We start from the raw sequence: 16,227 nt of genomic DNA on the forward strand, positions 1-16,227 counted from the left end.
TCAGAAGGTCCACCCAAGTGAGTCTCATCACCTTCGGCTACAGCCCAGAGCTCAGGCAGTTGGGAGGGAAGTTCTCCACCTGTCTGCCCTTCGTCCCTCTTGCTGTGACTCTGGAAGTCGGGAGGCAGCAGGATGCAGGGGAAAGAGCCTAGATCCTGACTCTGCCCAGTGACTGGAGTGACTGTTCCTCACTAAGCCCCATTTTCCCCATCTGTAATTGGGGAAAAGTCATCTGGCTTTGTAGAAGCTGTTGTGGAGAGTGGAGGCCAACATGGGCTGGCAGAACACCCAGCACATAGTAGGTGCTTCCTAGGAGAAGTGGGCCCTGGGTCCCCTCTCCAGGCACAGCCCTGAGTCTTAAAGGGAGACTCTGGCTTTCCCAACCTCAGATCTTTTGAAAGCCCTGACACCTTCCCTGTGGCCTGTCCAGTGGCCCCACAAGGCCACCCTATCCCCCAAGGAGCTTGACAACCTCGGAGGGAGTAAGACTTGAATTTCATGCTCATAAAATGACTGGAATCAAAGCAGGGCTTATGACATGGAGCTGTTTTGAAGTTGGCCCAGGGCAGGAGGGGCGTGAAATTCCTGGCTGTTTTGGCCCCTCTTCAGAGAAACTGGGGCCCCTGGCAGGATGTCTGGGGCCCAGGCAGGAGGTTAATGGCTGGCTACCTGAGGTACCTGCCATTTTAGCAATGATCCAAATGCCAACATAGACTTTTGGGGAAAAAATTCTAAGTTTTAGAGAAGACAAATGGGAAAACTCAATTGAAAACCCCCCCCTTATCTGGGGCTGGAGACGGTGAGGACCCAATGGTTGCAGTGTGGGAACTTGGGCCCTGTAGCTAGGCTTCCCATCCCTGCCTTGCCACTTACTTGCTGTGTGACGTTGGGCATATTGCCTAGCCTCTCTGTGCCTCAGTTTCCTTCTCTGTTGAGTGGGCCTAATACCAGTCCTTTCGTCAAAGGCTTGTGGTGAGGGTGACCACATTGACGTCTCCTGCCCTGCTGGCCCAGTCTCTGGGCATCACAAGCTCAGTCACTGATGCTGTTACTAGCATTTTTTTTTTTTTTGAGATGGGGTCTTGCTATGTTGCCCAGGCTGGTCTTAAACTCCTGACCTCAAGTGAACCTCCCACCTTAGCCTCCCAAAGTGCTGGGATTATAGGTGTGAGCCACTGCACCTGGACCAGTTACCAGTATTTTTCCTATAGATATGAACAGCTTCTCCTGAATTGAGGGCTACCTGTGAACCAGCCCCTTCATAGGCCTCCTCTCACCAAATCTTCCTACAGCTGCATGAGGCAAGCCATGCACCCCCCGAGGCAGATGATCAGTGATGTCTGGACACTTGCCCGGGGCACACAGCCGGTGAGAGGCAGGGCCAGAATTCCAGCGCCAGTCCTTCTGGTGGCTCAGTCCACATTCTTGGTCACTTTCCTTTAGGAAATACGGAAAGGCGAGGAGAGGAAAGATATGTCCCCACACCCATACAGGGAGAGCAGGGTTGCTTTTCTTTGATTTTTTTTTTTTTTTTGAGTCAGGGTCTTGCTCTGTTGCCCAGACTGGAGTATAGTGGCATGATCATAGCTCACTGCAGCCTCGAATTCCTGGACTCAAGTGATCCTCTGATCCTCCCACCTCAGCCTCCCAAAGTGCTGAGATTACAGGCGTGAGCCACCGTGCCTCATGAGAACAGGGTTTCTCAATGTCGGCCACATTCTGGGCCCAGTGTGTCTCTGCGTGGGGGCTGCCTGTCCTGTCCACCGTGGGATGCTTAGCAGCATCCTGGGCTTCTGCCTACAGATTGGGAGGCCCCCCAGAGTGTGACAACCCAAAATGTCTCCTCCACGTGTCCCAGAGAGGGGCAACCCCTGCCTGAGAACTGGGCTGGAGTACTGGGGTTGAAATGGTGGAGTGTTTTCTTCTGGATTTTTTCTCTAACTACACACACTGGGGAAATACAGACACACACTGGGGAAAACAGGCATTTCATTGCATGCCTTGCATTTTCTCTTTATTTTTTAATTTTTAAAAATGTTTGTCGACCTGGCCCAGACGTGGTGGCTCACACCTGCAATCCCAGTGCTTTGGGAGACAGAGGCAGGCAGATCATCTGAGGTCAGGAGTTTGAGACCAGCCTGGCCAGCGTGGCGAAACTCCTTCTCTACTAAAAATACAAAAATTAGCCAGGCTTGGTGGTGCGTGCCTATAATCCCAGCTACTTGGGAGGCTGAGGCAGGATAATCACTTGAGAGGTGGAGGTTGCAGTGAGCCGAGATCGCGCCACTGCACTCCAGCCTGGGCGACAGAGCAAGACTCCGTCTCAAAACAACAACAACAACAACGACGTTTGTTGACCTGTCAGCAGGAAGAAATTTTAAAATTGTTTATTTATTTACATACCTATTTAGCATTTTCTCATAAAAAATACAGCTGGGTGACATCACACATGCATTGAACTTAGGCGAATCCATGTTCTTGGGCTGGGATGAAGGAGAGAGAGCAGTACCATGAGTGATAATGGGGTGATGCTGGCATCCGTGACCTGAGCCAGGAGCTGTCACAGGTCCATTGGCTGGGGCTTTCCCCTGTCTTTGCCCTTGTACAGATGGGGAAACTGAGGCTCAGAGACTGGACAGGGTTCCAGAATTCCAGGGGTAAACCTCTGGAACCCAGTGTGGCTCCATAACCAGGGCTGCAGATGTCGTCCCCTCTGGGTCAGGCCCCCCGGTGGCTCCTCAGGGTACCCCCTGTCTGGACCACTTCTGCACCAGGGGCCCCCAAGAGCAGGATAAGGAATCAAGAGGGGTTGAGCAGGTGGGAAGGAAGTGAGGGGTTGGGCCCAGTGGCTTACGCCTTTAATCCCAGCACTTTGGGAGGCCAAGACGGAGGACTACCTGAGCTCAGGAGTTCAAGACCAGCCTGGACAACACAGCAAGACCCCATCTCTACAAAAAATGCAAAATTAGCCAGGCATGGTGGCATGAGCCTGTGGTCTCAGCTACTTGGGAGGCTGAGGTGGGAGCATCACTTGGGCCCGGGAGGTCGAGGCTGCAGTGAGCAGTGATCACGCCACTGCACTCCAGCCTGGGCAACAGAGCAAGACCCCCATTTTTTTTTCTTCAGATGGAGTCTTACTCTGCCACCCAGGCTGGAGTGCAGTGGGGCGATCTCGGCTCACTGCAACCTCCACCTCTTGGGTTCAAGCGATTCTCCTGCCTCAGCCTCCCGAGTAGCTGGGATTACAGGCGTGCACCACCAGGCCTGGCTAATTTTTGTTTTTTTAGTAGGGACGGAGTTTCACCATGTTGGCCAGGCTGGTCTCAAATTCCTGACCTCATGTGATCTGCCTGCCTCAGCCTCCCAAAGTGCTGGGACTACAGGCGTGAGCTACTCAGGAGGCTGAGGCAGGAGAGTGGCGTGAACCGGGGAGGCGGAGCTTGCAGTGAGCTGAGATCGCGCCACTGCACTCCAGCCTGGGCGACAGAGCGAGACTCTGTCTCAAAAAATAAATTAATAAAAAATAAATTTTTAAAGGAAGGGAGAGAGGCAGGGTGAGAGGAAGAGGCCCTGCACCCGCCGTCCCCTGCAGCAGCCACTGCAGGGAGGACTCTGCTGAAGGAGGCCCAGGGGCTGCAGGGCCAGGGCCCAAGGCTGACAGCTCCCTCCCAGGCACACACAGAGGGGCCGCTCATTCCCATTACACAAATAAGGACACCCCTGATGTGGGAGAGTGATGGCTCCCAGGTTGTCTACCCAAGTGGGCCATGTCTGCAGGAGGCGGACCTTTCGCTAATCTGAACAAAGGCCTCCCTTTCTCCTTCCATCCAGAGGTGGGGTTGTTTGCCTAAAGTCACACAGCAGTAAATCACGGGCTGGGATTTAAATACAGACTGCCTGCTCAGGAATCCTTGTTTTACCCATTCAGTATCTTATATGGCTTGTGGACATGCATATGTGTGTTTGGACACACACCTACACACCCCCACACACACACAAACACGCACACACACAGTGGCAGCTGCTCCCCCAGACTCAAGAACCCCTGCATCTGTCTCCAGGGCCCTCCGAGACCTGGGGCCGCAACAGTTGTGTCTGGTTTGCAGCCCAGCTGAGAGCGGATAATCCCAAATCTCTCAGACTCCATTCCAGCCCCCATCAGCCCACTCCCCAGCTGTGCATCTTTGGGCAAATGGAGCCCCTCTCTGAGCCTCAGGGTCTTTGCCACCCCAGCACCCCCGCACACCAGGACTTTACTAGGGGTTCTGTGAGCTGAGGCTGCTTTGTGATTTATCTGAGCAGAGCTTCAGTGGGACACAGAGACCACCACACGCAGCTGGTGTCCATGCAGCCTGGCCGGCTGGTAGGGCTCAGTGGCCTCCCAGGGTCCCTGTTTGGCCAGGCTTCAGGGTCTGGTGTGTATGATTTCATAGGAAGCAATGACCTTGGGCAAAAATGTCACAGGGCATCAGCCTAATGGATTCGGCCTGGCTGACAGTGAGCAGGAGGGTTGGAGTCCTCCTCCTGGGGCTGGGTTCTTCAGGGTGGGGGAACTCAGGGATCTGGGTCATTGCCTGTGGTCAGGGTGAGGAGACAGAGGCCCAGGGGCCAGCAGCCTTCCCAGGGTCACCCAGCACTGCCTGACCTCTTCCACCACCTTGGGGCCTTTGGGAAGGACAGGGTCGGTGGGGGTAGAGGAACCTGCAGGGGCCAACAGACCTTCTCCTGGCAAGTCATTGATGCCTCAGTTTCCTCTTCTGTAAGATCGGTTTGATTAATAGTTCCGATCTCAGGGCTGGGGGAGAGTCCATGAATTGCTTTATAATGAGCTCAGCATAGAGAAGGTGCTCATTACGTCTTTTTTTTTTTTTTTCTTTTTGAGATGGAGTCTCACTTTGTTGCCCAGGCTGGAGTGCAGTGGTGCGATCTTGGCTCACTACAACCTCTGCCTCCCAGATTCAAGCGATTCTCCTTCCTCAGCCTCCTGAGTAGCTGGGATTACAGGCATGCGCCACCACACCCGGCTAACTTTTGTATTTTTAGTAGAGATGGGGTTTCGCCATGTTGGCCAGGCTGATCTCAAACTCCTGACCTTAGGTGATCTGCCTGTCTTGGCCTCCCAAAGTGCTGGGATTACAGGCGTGAGCCACTGCGCCCGGCCGCTCGTTAAGTCTTGACTGTCATTCTTGGTTTGCCTCACATCTCTGACCCCATCTGGAACGCTCTGTACTTAGCACTGGTTGCTGGGTGCTGCCAGTCCTGGGTTCAGATCCCAGCTCTGGTGGGTCACCCTGAGCTAGTGACAGAGACTCTTGGAGCCTCAGTGTCCTCATCTGTGAAATGGGGCCACCAACACTACCAAGGAATGGTTGGGAGCAAAGTGAGATGGTGGCTGTGAGGCACTTCAGGCACCTCAGCTCATCAGGGTAAGTAAAGTCCTCTGTTGACCTTGCCAGGCTAGAAGTAGCTAATTTATCGTCATGGTGGGTGGCAGAGGGGCAGCTAAGGCCACTGGCTCAAGGTCACAGGGATCAGAGTGGAATCTCACTTTGTGGCTCAAAGCTGTGTGATCTTGGGCAAGCCACTTGGCCTTTCTGGGCCTCAGTTTCATCCTGTTGACATCAGAAGACCCCAGGACCATACAGTGGAGGGCTGAGTGTAACTTGGCATCCAGTCAGTGATGTGTTTTGCACCCAATGCCTGGCACAGTGCTGCACCCACCAGGAGAGGTGGGAGGGTGATGGCTCCCAGGTCGTCTGCCCAGGTGGGCCGTGCCTGCCGGAGGGGAGACTTTTCCTAATCTGAACAAAGGCCTCCTTTCTTCCATCCACACCCTCCCTGGGAGTACAGCCTCACACCTTAAACTCCATTTCCACAGGGGCCACTCTGGTGCCTGTCCCCAGGTCACTCTGGACTGGCCAGCCTCCTTGAGCCCCTGATCTGAGGGTCTCACAGGCATCGTAGTTTAACACACTCCCACCCAGCACCGGAAGGCCCCCACAAACTGGCTCTTCCTGAGCCTCCCCTGGGCTAGGCCAAAACCTGGGAGTCCCCCAGCTCCTTTCCCCCTCTTACCCTCTCACTTCTGAGTCCTGTGGGCTCCCTGGTCTGAGCGTTCTGCATTGCATGGAAGTCTAAGAGGCCACAGGAAAGGCATGCATTCCGGAATCAAGGAAATGCGGGAGCTGGAGTCTCATTCTGTTGCTATGTTGCTCAGGCTGGTCTTGAACTCCTGGCCTCAAGTGATCCTCTCACCTCGGCCTCCCAAAGTGCTGGCATTATAGGCACGAGCCACTGTGCCCGGCCACTGATCAGTTCTTACCTCTTCTGGAACACCAGGTCCAGTGCCATCCTCTGCCCCTCTGGTCTACTGCAGTCAACTGCCTGCTTCCAGCAATGCCCCGTGGTCTGTTCTCTGCAGGAAGCTAGAGGGAAGCTAGAGGTAAAAACCTGGAGCACATGCGTCCCTCCTCTGCAATGGTTCCCATCTCCCTTGGAGAAAAAGATGGATCTTTGAAAGGCCCTGTAGGATCTGCCCCACCACTACCCCTCCCCCACCCCATCTCCTAAGCCTCCTCCTCCCTCCCTGACCCTGTACTCTGCTCCAGCCACACTGGCCTCCTGGTTGTTTCTCCAACAAATTAGGCATGCTCCTGCCTCACGGCATTTGCACTGGCTGCTTCCTCTGCAGGACACATTCTTCCCCCAGATGTCCACATGCCTCACTCCCTCACCTCCTGCAGGTCTTTGCTCAAATGCCACTTCTCAAGCATCAGGCACCTGCCCCCATTCCAATTTTCAATGGCACCTCTGCCCCACCCCATCCCCTATCCCCCTCCCTGCCTTGTTTCCCTCTATAGCATTTATCACCATCTCATCTTCTACATGGTTTACTTTTTCATCTGTTTACTGTTTCTCCCTAGTCCTTTGCCCTGACTGTCACCATTCCCAGAACATCCATTTCACGAGGGCCGCGTTTTCTGACTATTTTGTTCCCCGCTGTGTCTGCTGGGCCTAGGGCAGTGCTGGGCACACGGTAGCTGCTCATTAAATATCTGTGGAATGGGCAGCTCTGGAGTGTGGATACCAACATGCCCCTGGTGAAGCGGGAGCTCTAGGATTTGGAATCAGCCTGTAAGCTGTAGAGGGCAGTGCCCTTTGGATGGCACAGCCAGGTAGGCATGTTCCCAGCAGGGGTTTGTGGGAAACGGCTGTGGAGGGTCCTGGTGTCTACAGTCAGATTCCCAGGGCAGGATGCTGACAGATGGGCCATGGCACGATGGGGAGGCCAGGTGGTGTGGCTGGGTCCGGCTTTAAGCCTCTGGCCACCGTGTCAGGTTTGTAAAGCAAAGGGTCAGGAAGGCACCAAGGGCAGTGTGGCCGGAAGTGAACGGCCCAGGCTTCTGGGAAGAAAAAGAATTACATTCCAAGGAACCCATGGCTTGGGCGCCTGAGCCACTGGGGGCAGGGAAGAGTATGAAAGAGGCAGGGCTGGCGTGGGCAGATGGTGGCCTTGCCTGAGGTTCAGAGTGGTCAGGTCTGTAGGTCAGGGTGACCCTGGAGAGCTGGGATTTGGACCAGGTCAGGGGAAGTGTCCCCCAGATTGTGAATGGCTGGGGCGTGGCAGCCAGTCCACAGCTCCTGCTGCTGTTGGGAGGGGAGACCCCCACTCTGGGCTGGGGTGCAGCTCAGGGAGCCCCGGAGCTGACTGAGCCACTTCCTTGTGCCAGGCGGTGTCCATGTCCACCCCCAGGGCGAGATGTGGGCAACCAAGCCAAGAGAGGGGGCTGCCAAGGCCACAAGCTCATCCATGTGTCCATTTATCCATCTGTCCATTTATCCATCTGTCCATTTATCCATCTGTTTACAGAGTGTCTATTGCATGCCATGTGCTGCAGACTCTTTTTTGAGACAGAGTCTAGCTCTGTTACCCAGGCTGGAGTGTAGTGGCATGATCTCGGCTCAGTGCAACCTCCACCTCCCAGGTTCAAGCGATTCTCCTGCCTCAGCCTCCTGAGTAGCTGGGATTACAGGTGCCCACCACCATGCTCAGCTAATTTTTGCATTTTTAGTAGAGACAGGGTTTCGCCATGTTGGCCAGGCTGGTCTCGAACTCCTGACCTCAGGTGATCCACCTGCCTCGGCCTCCCAAAGTGCTGGGATCACAGGTGTGAGCCACTGCGCCCAGCCCCTGTGCTGTGGACTTAATGTGATAATGTGACTTGCATCTTACCGCCCAGGGCCTCTGCTCTTGCTGTTCTCTTGGCCTGGAACAATACCTACCAGACTCCAGGGCTGGCAGCTCCTCCTCACTTGGGGTCACCTCCTCCAAGAGGCCCCCTGCCCACTGCTGCCTGCCTGCCCTCTGTTCCTTTACTTGGGTATGTGCTGAACGCCTGGAAAAGAACCTAGTGCATTTCCTTCTTTGTCTGTTGTCTAACTCCCCCATTCAAATATCAGCTCCACGAAGGGAGGGTTTTGTCTCATCACTGCATGTCCCTACACACGGTATTTGGCACACAGTAAACACTCAATGAATGCTTGTTGAATGAATGAATGGACAAATGAACAAATGGAAGCTCTACTGGGGAAGCTCAGGGATGGAGACTGGCTCCTAACCCAGAGGGAGGGGATGTCCTGGGTAGCGCAGTCCTGGAAGATGCAGTCACTGGTAAACTGAAGCCTAAAGAAGCTCAGGCAGGCAGGTGAAGAAACCAGGGGGATGGTTTTGTTTCAAAACACCTTCCTCCAAGGGAGGAAGAGGTGAGCTACCTCCAAGGTTGCTCAGAGGTGGAAACTGTGATTAAAAATAAAAAAGGCGGCCAGGCATGGTGGCTCATGCCTGTAATCTCAGCACTTTGGGAGGCCAAGGTGGGCGGATCACCTGAGGTCAGGAGTTTGAGACCAGCCTGGGCAATATGGTGAAACCCCATCTCTACTAAAAATACAAAAAGTAGCCGGGTGTGGTGGTGCACACCTGTAGTCCCAGCTACTTGGGAGGCTGAGGTAGAAGAATCGCTTGAACCCGGGAGGTGGAGGTAGCAGAGAGCCGAGATAGCGCCACTGGACTTTAGCCTGGCGACAGAGCAAGACTCCATCTCAAAATAAATAAATAAACAAATAAGGCTAGAAGTGGTGGCTCACGCCTGTAATTCCAGCACTTTGGGAGGCCAAGACGGGAGGATCGCTTGAGGCCAAGGGTTCAAGACCAGCCTGGGCAATATAATGAGACCCTGGCTCTACAAAAACAAACAAAGCCTTTAATTCATTGCTACCATAAAAATCGAGACATTTCACTACATCCTGATGTCCCTGTCTCTCTTGAAGACTTGGAAGATTTGGCCATGTGGGCCAGCATTCTAGAGGCAAAGGTGGTCAGTCCTGTGTTCTCCACAGCCCCTATCAGGTCCTTGAGGTATGTGAGCTTCAAAGCCTTGTATTCACAGCATGACCCCCACTACCCCCACCTGCTGGGTGACCTTGGACAACCCTTTCTGAGTCTCAGCTGGTCCTTGGCAAAAAATGGGTTGGAGGCCAGGCATGGTGGCTTACGCCTGTAATCCCAGCACTTTAGGAGGCCAAGGCAGGAAGATCACTTGAGCCCAGGAGTTTGAGACCAGCCGGGGCAACACAGCGAGACCCTGTCTCTACTAAAAAAAATTTTTTTTTTTTGAGACTGAGTCTCGCTCAGTCACCCAGGCTGCCGTGCGGTGGCGTGATCTCAGCTCACTGCAAGCTCGCCTCCCGGGTTCACGCCATTCTCCTGCCTCAGCCTCCTGAGTAGCTGGGACTACAGGCACCCGCCACCACGTCCGGCTAATTAAAAAAAAAAATATTTTTTAATTGGCCAGTGGCCTGCACCTGTAGTCCCAGCTACTCAGGAGGCTGAGGCAGGAGGATTGCTTGAGGAGGAGGTTGAGGCTGCAATGAGACTTGATCATGCCACTGCACCCCAGCCTGGGTGACAGAGTGAGACCCTGTCTCTAAATGAATAAATAATTAGTTGGGCGTGGTGGCGCCCACTTGTAGTCCCAGCTACCCGGGAGGCTGAGGAAGGAGAATCGCTTGAGGCCAGGAGTTGGAGGCTGCAGTGACCCGTGATCGCATCACTGCACTCCAGCCTGGGCGACAAGAGACCCTGTCGCAAAAAAAAAAAAAAAAAAGAAAGAAAGAAAGAAAGAAAAAGGGTTGGAAGCGCACTGGGGGAAAAAGCTTGCCCACTCCGCTTTGGGAGCCTCCAGCAGGCTCCCGCTGTGCCAAAGGCACACACCCAGATGTCCGGTGGTCCACCCCTGCCCCGGCGGTCACGCCTGTCCCCTCCTCCAGCCCCAGCCTCGGGTCGGCTGAGAGATGACGCGTGGCCCGGCCCAGCCGGAGCGTTGGTCCCTAGAGCGCTAGCGCCCTCTGCTGGCCAAGGGCGGGCGTGCAGGCCCGAGCCAGAACGGGGAAGCCGGGCGCCAGGAGAGCGGGGAGGAGCTTCACTCTTCTGGTCGGTGAGATGGGGAAGAGCAATAGCGAATACATAAGCAGAATACACCGAAAGGAAAGGAAAGAACAATAGCGAAATAACATTTACGGAGGGGTGCTCCGTGCCGAGGACTGCAAGAAGCCCACACCATGTAAAACCACACGTAATCCTTAGAATAACCCGGCGAAATGGCAACGGAAACGCACAGAGAGGTTAAGGAGCCCTCCCGGGGCCACACAGCTGGTAGTGGAAACGGCTGACTCCTGGGCCTGCACTGGCATCCACCGAGGCGGAGAGAGGATGTGAAGGTGTCACCTCCGCTCATTCACTCATGCATGGCCTTCCAGCCAGCCATTCACCCATTCACAAGTATTCACTGAACACCTACTGTATGCCCAACATTGTGTGAGATGGCAGGAACACAGCCGTGAACACAATTGGCCTCATCCCTACCCTCTTGAAGCTGACATTTTAGTGGGGGTGGGAGGGGGCAGATAATAAACATGAATATATCATTAACAGCTGGGCCAGAGGCCAAAGGATAAACCTGTATGCGCTCGCTGATGTTACTCAGGCTCCTACCCCAACATGATTTTTTGCCGCATCTGAGCCCTACCTGTACTTTTACTTGACATTTGCTCCTAGATAATTGGTTTTTACTTAAGTGTATATATATATGTGTATATCTATATCTATATCTATATCTATGTATATGTTTATTTATTTATTGAGACAGAGTCTCGCCGTGTTGCCCAGGCTGGAGTGCAGTGGCACAATCACGGCCCACTGCAACCTCCACCTCTTGGGCTCAAGCGATCCTCCCACCTCAGCCTCCCGAGTAGCTGGGACTACAGGTGTGCAACACCATGCCCAGCTAATTTTTGTATTTTTTGTAGAGAGGGGGTTTTGCCGTGTTGCCCAGGCTGGTCTCAAACTCCTGGACTCAAGTGATCTGCCCACCTTGGCTTCCCAGAGTGCTGGGATTACAGGCATGAACCACTGTGCCAAGACAAAGTTGCTGGGTTTTTTTTGTTGTTTGTTTGTTTTTTGAGATGCAGTCTCACTCTGTCTCCCAGGCTGGAGTGCAGTGGCACAATCTCGGCTCACTGCAACCTCCGTCTTCCAGATTCAAGTGATTCTCCTGCCTCAGCCTCCCTAGTAGCTGGGATTACAGGCACGCACCACCATGGCCAGCTAATTTTTGTATTTTTAGTAGAGTCGGGGTTTCACCATGTTGGCCAGGCTGGTCTCAAACTCCTTGACCTCAAGTGATCTGCCCACCTGGGCCTCCCTAAGTGCTGGGATTACAGGCATGAGCCACCGTGCCCGCCTGCCGAAGGGTATTTTTAAAAGGGAATTTCGGCATGGTGAAACTCTGTCTCTACTAAAAATATAAAAATTAGCCGGGCATGGTGTTGCGCACCTGTAGTCCCAGCTACTTGGGAGGCTGAGGTGGGAGAATCGCTTGAACATGGGAGGCAGAGGCTGCAGTGAGCCGAGATCGCGCCACTGCACTCTGGCCTGGGCCACAGAGCGAGACTCCATCTCAAAAAAAAAAAAGGGGGGGTGGTGGGAAATCTCATATCACCACACCTACCCAACCAGTATCAGTTGTCACCTATCAGACAGCATCCTGGACTGAGGGTGAGGTATTGACATCACTGTTATATTAATCAATGTCCTTGGCATGCCACATCAGTTCCCCTGGTTCCTGGCAGGGGCACTAGAATCTCCCACTGGGAACCCCAAGATGAAGCCAGCCCCAGGGCCAGGCCTAGGGAATGAAGGTGCCATCAGCTTCTGAAGAAGGTGGGTGGCCTCTCCAGGATCCTCCAAGCCACTGTGGCCTGTGCTTTCTCTGGATTCTGCTGGTGACCCTGAAGAATCTGAGGCACAGGCCTTCCCTGGCCAATCAGAAAGCAGTGGCTTCCATCTTAGCTTCCTGCCCACCATGGACAACCCTGGGTCGTGGAACCCCCGTCTGCTCTCTTTCATGGCTGGCAATGGGTGTAAGGGGGACTTGCTCAGATCTGATTCTCAAAATTCCTGCCAGGGAAGGCCAGGCTTCTGAGCCAGTCCATCTGTTGCCCCCTGACCCAGCCACCCAGCTTCCCTGCATGCAGGGCAGAGGGAACAGGAGGCCCCACGGGGCCACTGGGACCCCTCCCTTGTCACTGCCAGTGGCCTCACAGGTCCATGTGACCCACCAAGAGAGGAAGGCCAGGCCCAGCCCTGAGGAGTGATTCATTCATTCAGTTTACACAGTCAGACTTTGTGCTGGACACTGTTTGTTGTTGTTGTTGTTTTGTTCTTTGAGACAGGGTCTCACTCTGTCACCCAGGCTGGAGTGCAATGGTGTGATCTTGGCTCCATGCAACCTCCGCCTCCCGAGTTCAAGTGATTCTCCTGCCTCAGCCTCCGGAGTAGCTGGTATTACAGGTGTGCACCACCACGCCTGGCTAATTTTTGTATTTTTAGTAGAGACGGGGTTTCACTATGTTGGCCAGGCTGGTCATGAACTCCTGGCTTCAGTGATCCTCCCACCTCACCTCCCAAAGTGTTGGGATTACGGACTTAAGCCACCGTGCCCGGCCTAGACACCATTTTTTATTTTATTTACTTATTTATTTATTATTATTATTATTATTATTATTTTGAGACAGAGTTTTGCTCTTGTCTCCCAGGCTGGAGTGCAATGGCGCGATCTCGGTTCACTGCAACATCCGCCTCCTGTGTCCAAGTCATTCTCCTGCCTCAGCCTCCTGAGTAGCTGGGATTACAGGCACCTACCACCACACCCAGCTAATTTTTTGTATTTTTAGTAGAGACAGGGTTTCACCATGATGATCAGGCTGGTCTTGAACTCCTGACCTCAAGTGATGCACCCGCCTCTGCCTCCCAAAGTGCTGGGATTATAGGCGTAAGCCACCACGCCAGGCCTATTATTATTATATTTTGAGACAGAGTCTGGCTCTGTCACGCAGGCTGGTACAATGGCTTGATCTTGGCTCACTGCAACCTCCGCTACCCAGGTTCAAGTGATTCTCCTGTCTCAGCCTCCCGAGTTGCTGGGATTACAAGCACGTGCCACTACGCCCAGCTAATTTTTGTATTGTTAGTAGAGATGGGGTTTCACCATGTTGGCCAGGCTGGTCTCGAACTCCTGATCTCAGGTGATCCACCCACCTTGGCCTCCCAAAATGCTGGGATTACAGGCGTGAGCCACTGTGCCCAGCCTTCAACACTATTTTTAACACTGGGTTCATGGCAGTGAAGAAGCCAGATGAGGCGCCCACCTGCAAGAGGGACAAAGGAATAACTACTGCAATGAATGAGATAGTTAAAATACACTGGGCATGGGAGTCCAAGGCGGGTGGATCATTTGAGGTCAGGAGTTCGAGACCAGCCTGGCCAACATGGTGAAACCCCGTCTACCAAAAATACAAAAATTAGCCGGGCGTGGTGGTGCACGCCTGTAATCCCCAGCTACTCGGTAGGCTGATGCAGGAGAATCGCTTGAACCAGGGATGCAGAAGCTGCAGTGAGCTGGGATCGCAGCACTGCACTCCAGCCTGGGTGACAGAGTGAGATTCTATCTAAAAAAAGAAAAGAAAAAGAAAAAAAAAAGAGGCCAGCTGCAGTGGTTCACGTCTGTCATCCCAGCACTTTAGGAGTCCAAGGCAGGCGGATCGCCTGAGTTCAGGAATTCGAGACCAGTCTGACCAACATGATGAAACTCCATCTCTACTAAAAATACAAAAATTAGCCGGGCATGGTGGCAGGCGCCTGTAATCCCAGCTACTCGGGAGGCTGAGGCAGGAGAATCACTTGAACCCAGGAGGCGTAGGTTGCAGTGAGCCAGGATAGTGCCATTGCACTCCAGTCTGGGCAACAGAGTGAGACTCTGTCTCAAAAATAAAATAAATAAAATAAAATAATAAAATAAAATAAAATATAAAATAAATAAATAAATTAATTAATTAAAATAAATAAAATAAAATAAAATATGCCTGTATCCTTGGATGGAGAAACCTGCTCCTAGAACTGTGTTCTACAGAGGTATGCAAATGCACACACATGCCCTGAGGCCAGCGGGCAGCAGAGCAGCAGAGACCACCTCAGGCCCAGCAGTCCAGGCCTGGCCACCGTGGTGGTGGCCCTTCATGTGCTGGGTGTGCTGCGCTTAACTACGGAGCGGATCCCCAAGGCTGCTCTGCAGGGCACTGGGAAGAATATCCCGGGGAGGAGCTAAGTGGAGATCACATTCCCATTTGCGTAAAAAAGTGGGGGAAGTGCATGAGGGGAGGGGGAAAGAATGCGGAGTGGTGCTGGCTGCACTTGCGTTTGCTCGCGTGCTGCCTGTGCCATCTCAGAGGCTCACACACTGGTGCTTGCCTTGGGAGAACGGGGTCAGAGGTGAGACTTTGCCCTGCACTCTATTCCCTTTATTTTCTTTTTGAGACGGAGTCTCACTGTGTCACCCAGGCTGGAGTGCGGTGGTGCAAGCCCAGTTCACTGCAGCCTCCATCTCCCAGGTTCAAGCGATTCTCCTGCCTCAGCCTCCCGAGTAGCTGGGATTACAGGCGTCTGCCACCATGCCTGGCTAATTTTTGTATTTTTAGTAGAGACGGAGTTTCATCATATTGGTCAGACTGGTCTCGAACTCCTGAACTCAGGTGATCTGCCCGCCTCGGCCTCCTAAAGTGCTGGGATGACAGACGTGAACCACTGCACCCGGCCTCTTTTTTTGTTTGTTTTTCTTTTCTTTGTTTAGACAGAATCTCACTCTGTCACCCAGGCTGGAGTGCAGTGGTGTGATCCCAGCTCACTGCAGCTTCTGCATCCCTGGTTCAAGCAATTCTCCTGCCTCAGCCTACCGAGTAGCTGGGATTACAGGCGTGCACCACCATGCCCGGCTAATTTTTATATTTTTGGTAGACGGGGTTTCACCATGTTGCCCAGCCTGGTCTCAAACTTGTTGGCTCAACGGATCTGCCAGCCTTGGCCTCCGAAAGTGCTAAGATTATAGGCATGAGCCACTGCCTCTGGCCAACTCTGTTAATTGACACATAAATGTAGGGAGACTTCACGTACAAATCTGCCTTCACAGCTTCCTTGGAAAATCAGAAAGATCTGGCATTCACTCAGCCCATGTGCCCAGTACTTAGTAACACCTTCACACTCACCTGTCCCCACCCAGCTGCATAACATCAGACACATATCAGAACCCCAAGGATGTGGCCCGTGTCTTCTTCTCACAGTGACAGGGCCACCAGCAGCAATGAGGTGGCTCTAGCCTAAGGTCTCCTCTCTCCCAAGGTCACCTTGGCCCGTGTGTGACAGCTGACTGCATCTAGCAGGTGACCTTGCCCAGGTCTCACAAGGAAGTCTTTGAGGTTGATCTGTTATCTTCTGGAGCTCAGAGCTCTGTACAATCCACCCACCCCAGCAGCTTGTTTCTTGCAAACTGGAAAGAATGAAGCTTTCACAAGCTGCCTTTTTTTTTTTTTTTTTTTGAGACTGAGTTTCACTCTTGTTGCCCAGACTAGAGTACAATGGCGTGATCTCGGCTCGCCACAACCTCCACCTCCCAGGTTCAAGTGATTCTCCTGCCTCAGCCTCCTGAGTAGCTGGGATTACAGGCATGTGCCACCACACCCAGCTAATTTTGTATTTTTAGTAGAGATGGGATTTCTCCGTGTTGGTCAGGCTGGTCTCAAACTCCCGACCTCAGGTGATCTGCCTGCCTTGGCCTCCCA

The 16,227-nt window shown here is 53.2% G+C and overlaps 4 annotated features.

Moving 5' to 3' along the window:
* Positions 3,918-4,095: a silencer, noted in NCBI's record as "fragment chr20:48681498-48681675 (GRCh37/hg19 assembly coordinates)". NCBI's record gives its function as "represses an EF-1alpha promoter that drives an FKBP-Casp9 reporter gene in an ReSE screen in K562 erythroleukemia cells {active_cell/tissue: K562}" and the evidence as "EXISTENCE:reporter gene assay evidence [ECO:0000049][PMID:32094911]".
* Positions 10,277-10,516: a silencer, noted in NCBI's record as "silent region_13012". NCBI's record gives its function as "represses an Ori minimal core promoter by ATAC-STARR-seq in GM12878 lymphoblastoid cells {active_cell/tissue: GM12878}" and the evidence as "EXISTENCE:reporter gene assay evidence [ECO:0000049][PMID:35858748]".
* Positions 12,013-12,522: an enhancer, noted in NCBI's record as "H3K27ac-H3K4me1 hESC enhancer chr20:48689593-48690102 (GRCh37/hg19 assembly coordinates)". NCBI's record gives its function as "activates a minimal SCP1, AML or CMV promoter by ChIP-STARR-seq in naive H9 embryonic stem cells {active_cell/tissue: H9 hESC(naive)}" and the evidence as "EXISTENCE:reporter gene assay evidence [ECO:0000049][PMID:30033119]".
* Positions 12,523-13,032: an enhancer, noted in NCBI's record as "H3K27ac-H3K4me1 hESC enhancer chr20:48690103-48690612 (GRCh37/hg19 assembly coordinates)". NCBI's record gives its function as "activates a minimal SCP1, AML or CMV promoter by ChIP-STARR-seq in naive H9 embryonic stem cells {active_cell/tissue: H9 hESC(naive)}" and the evidence as "EXISTENCE:reporter gene assay evidence [ECO:0000049][PMID:30033119]".

This window comes from Homo sapiens, chromosome 20, assembly GCF_000001405.40.
Source record: "Homo sapiens chromosome 20, GRCh38.p14 Primary Assembly".
Taxonomy (NCBI): domain Eukaryota; kingdom Metazoa; phylum Chordata; class Mammalia; order Primates; family Hominidae; genus Homo; species Homo sapiens.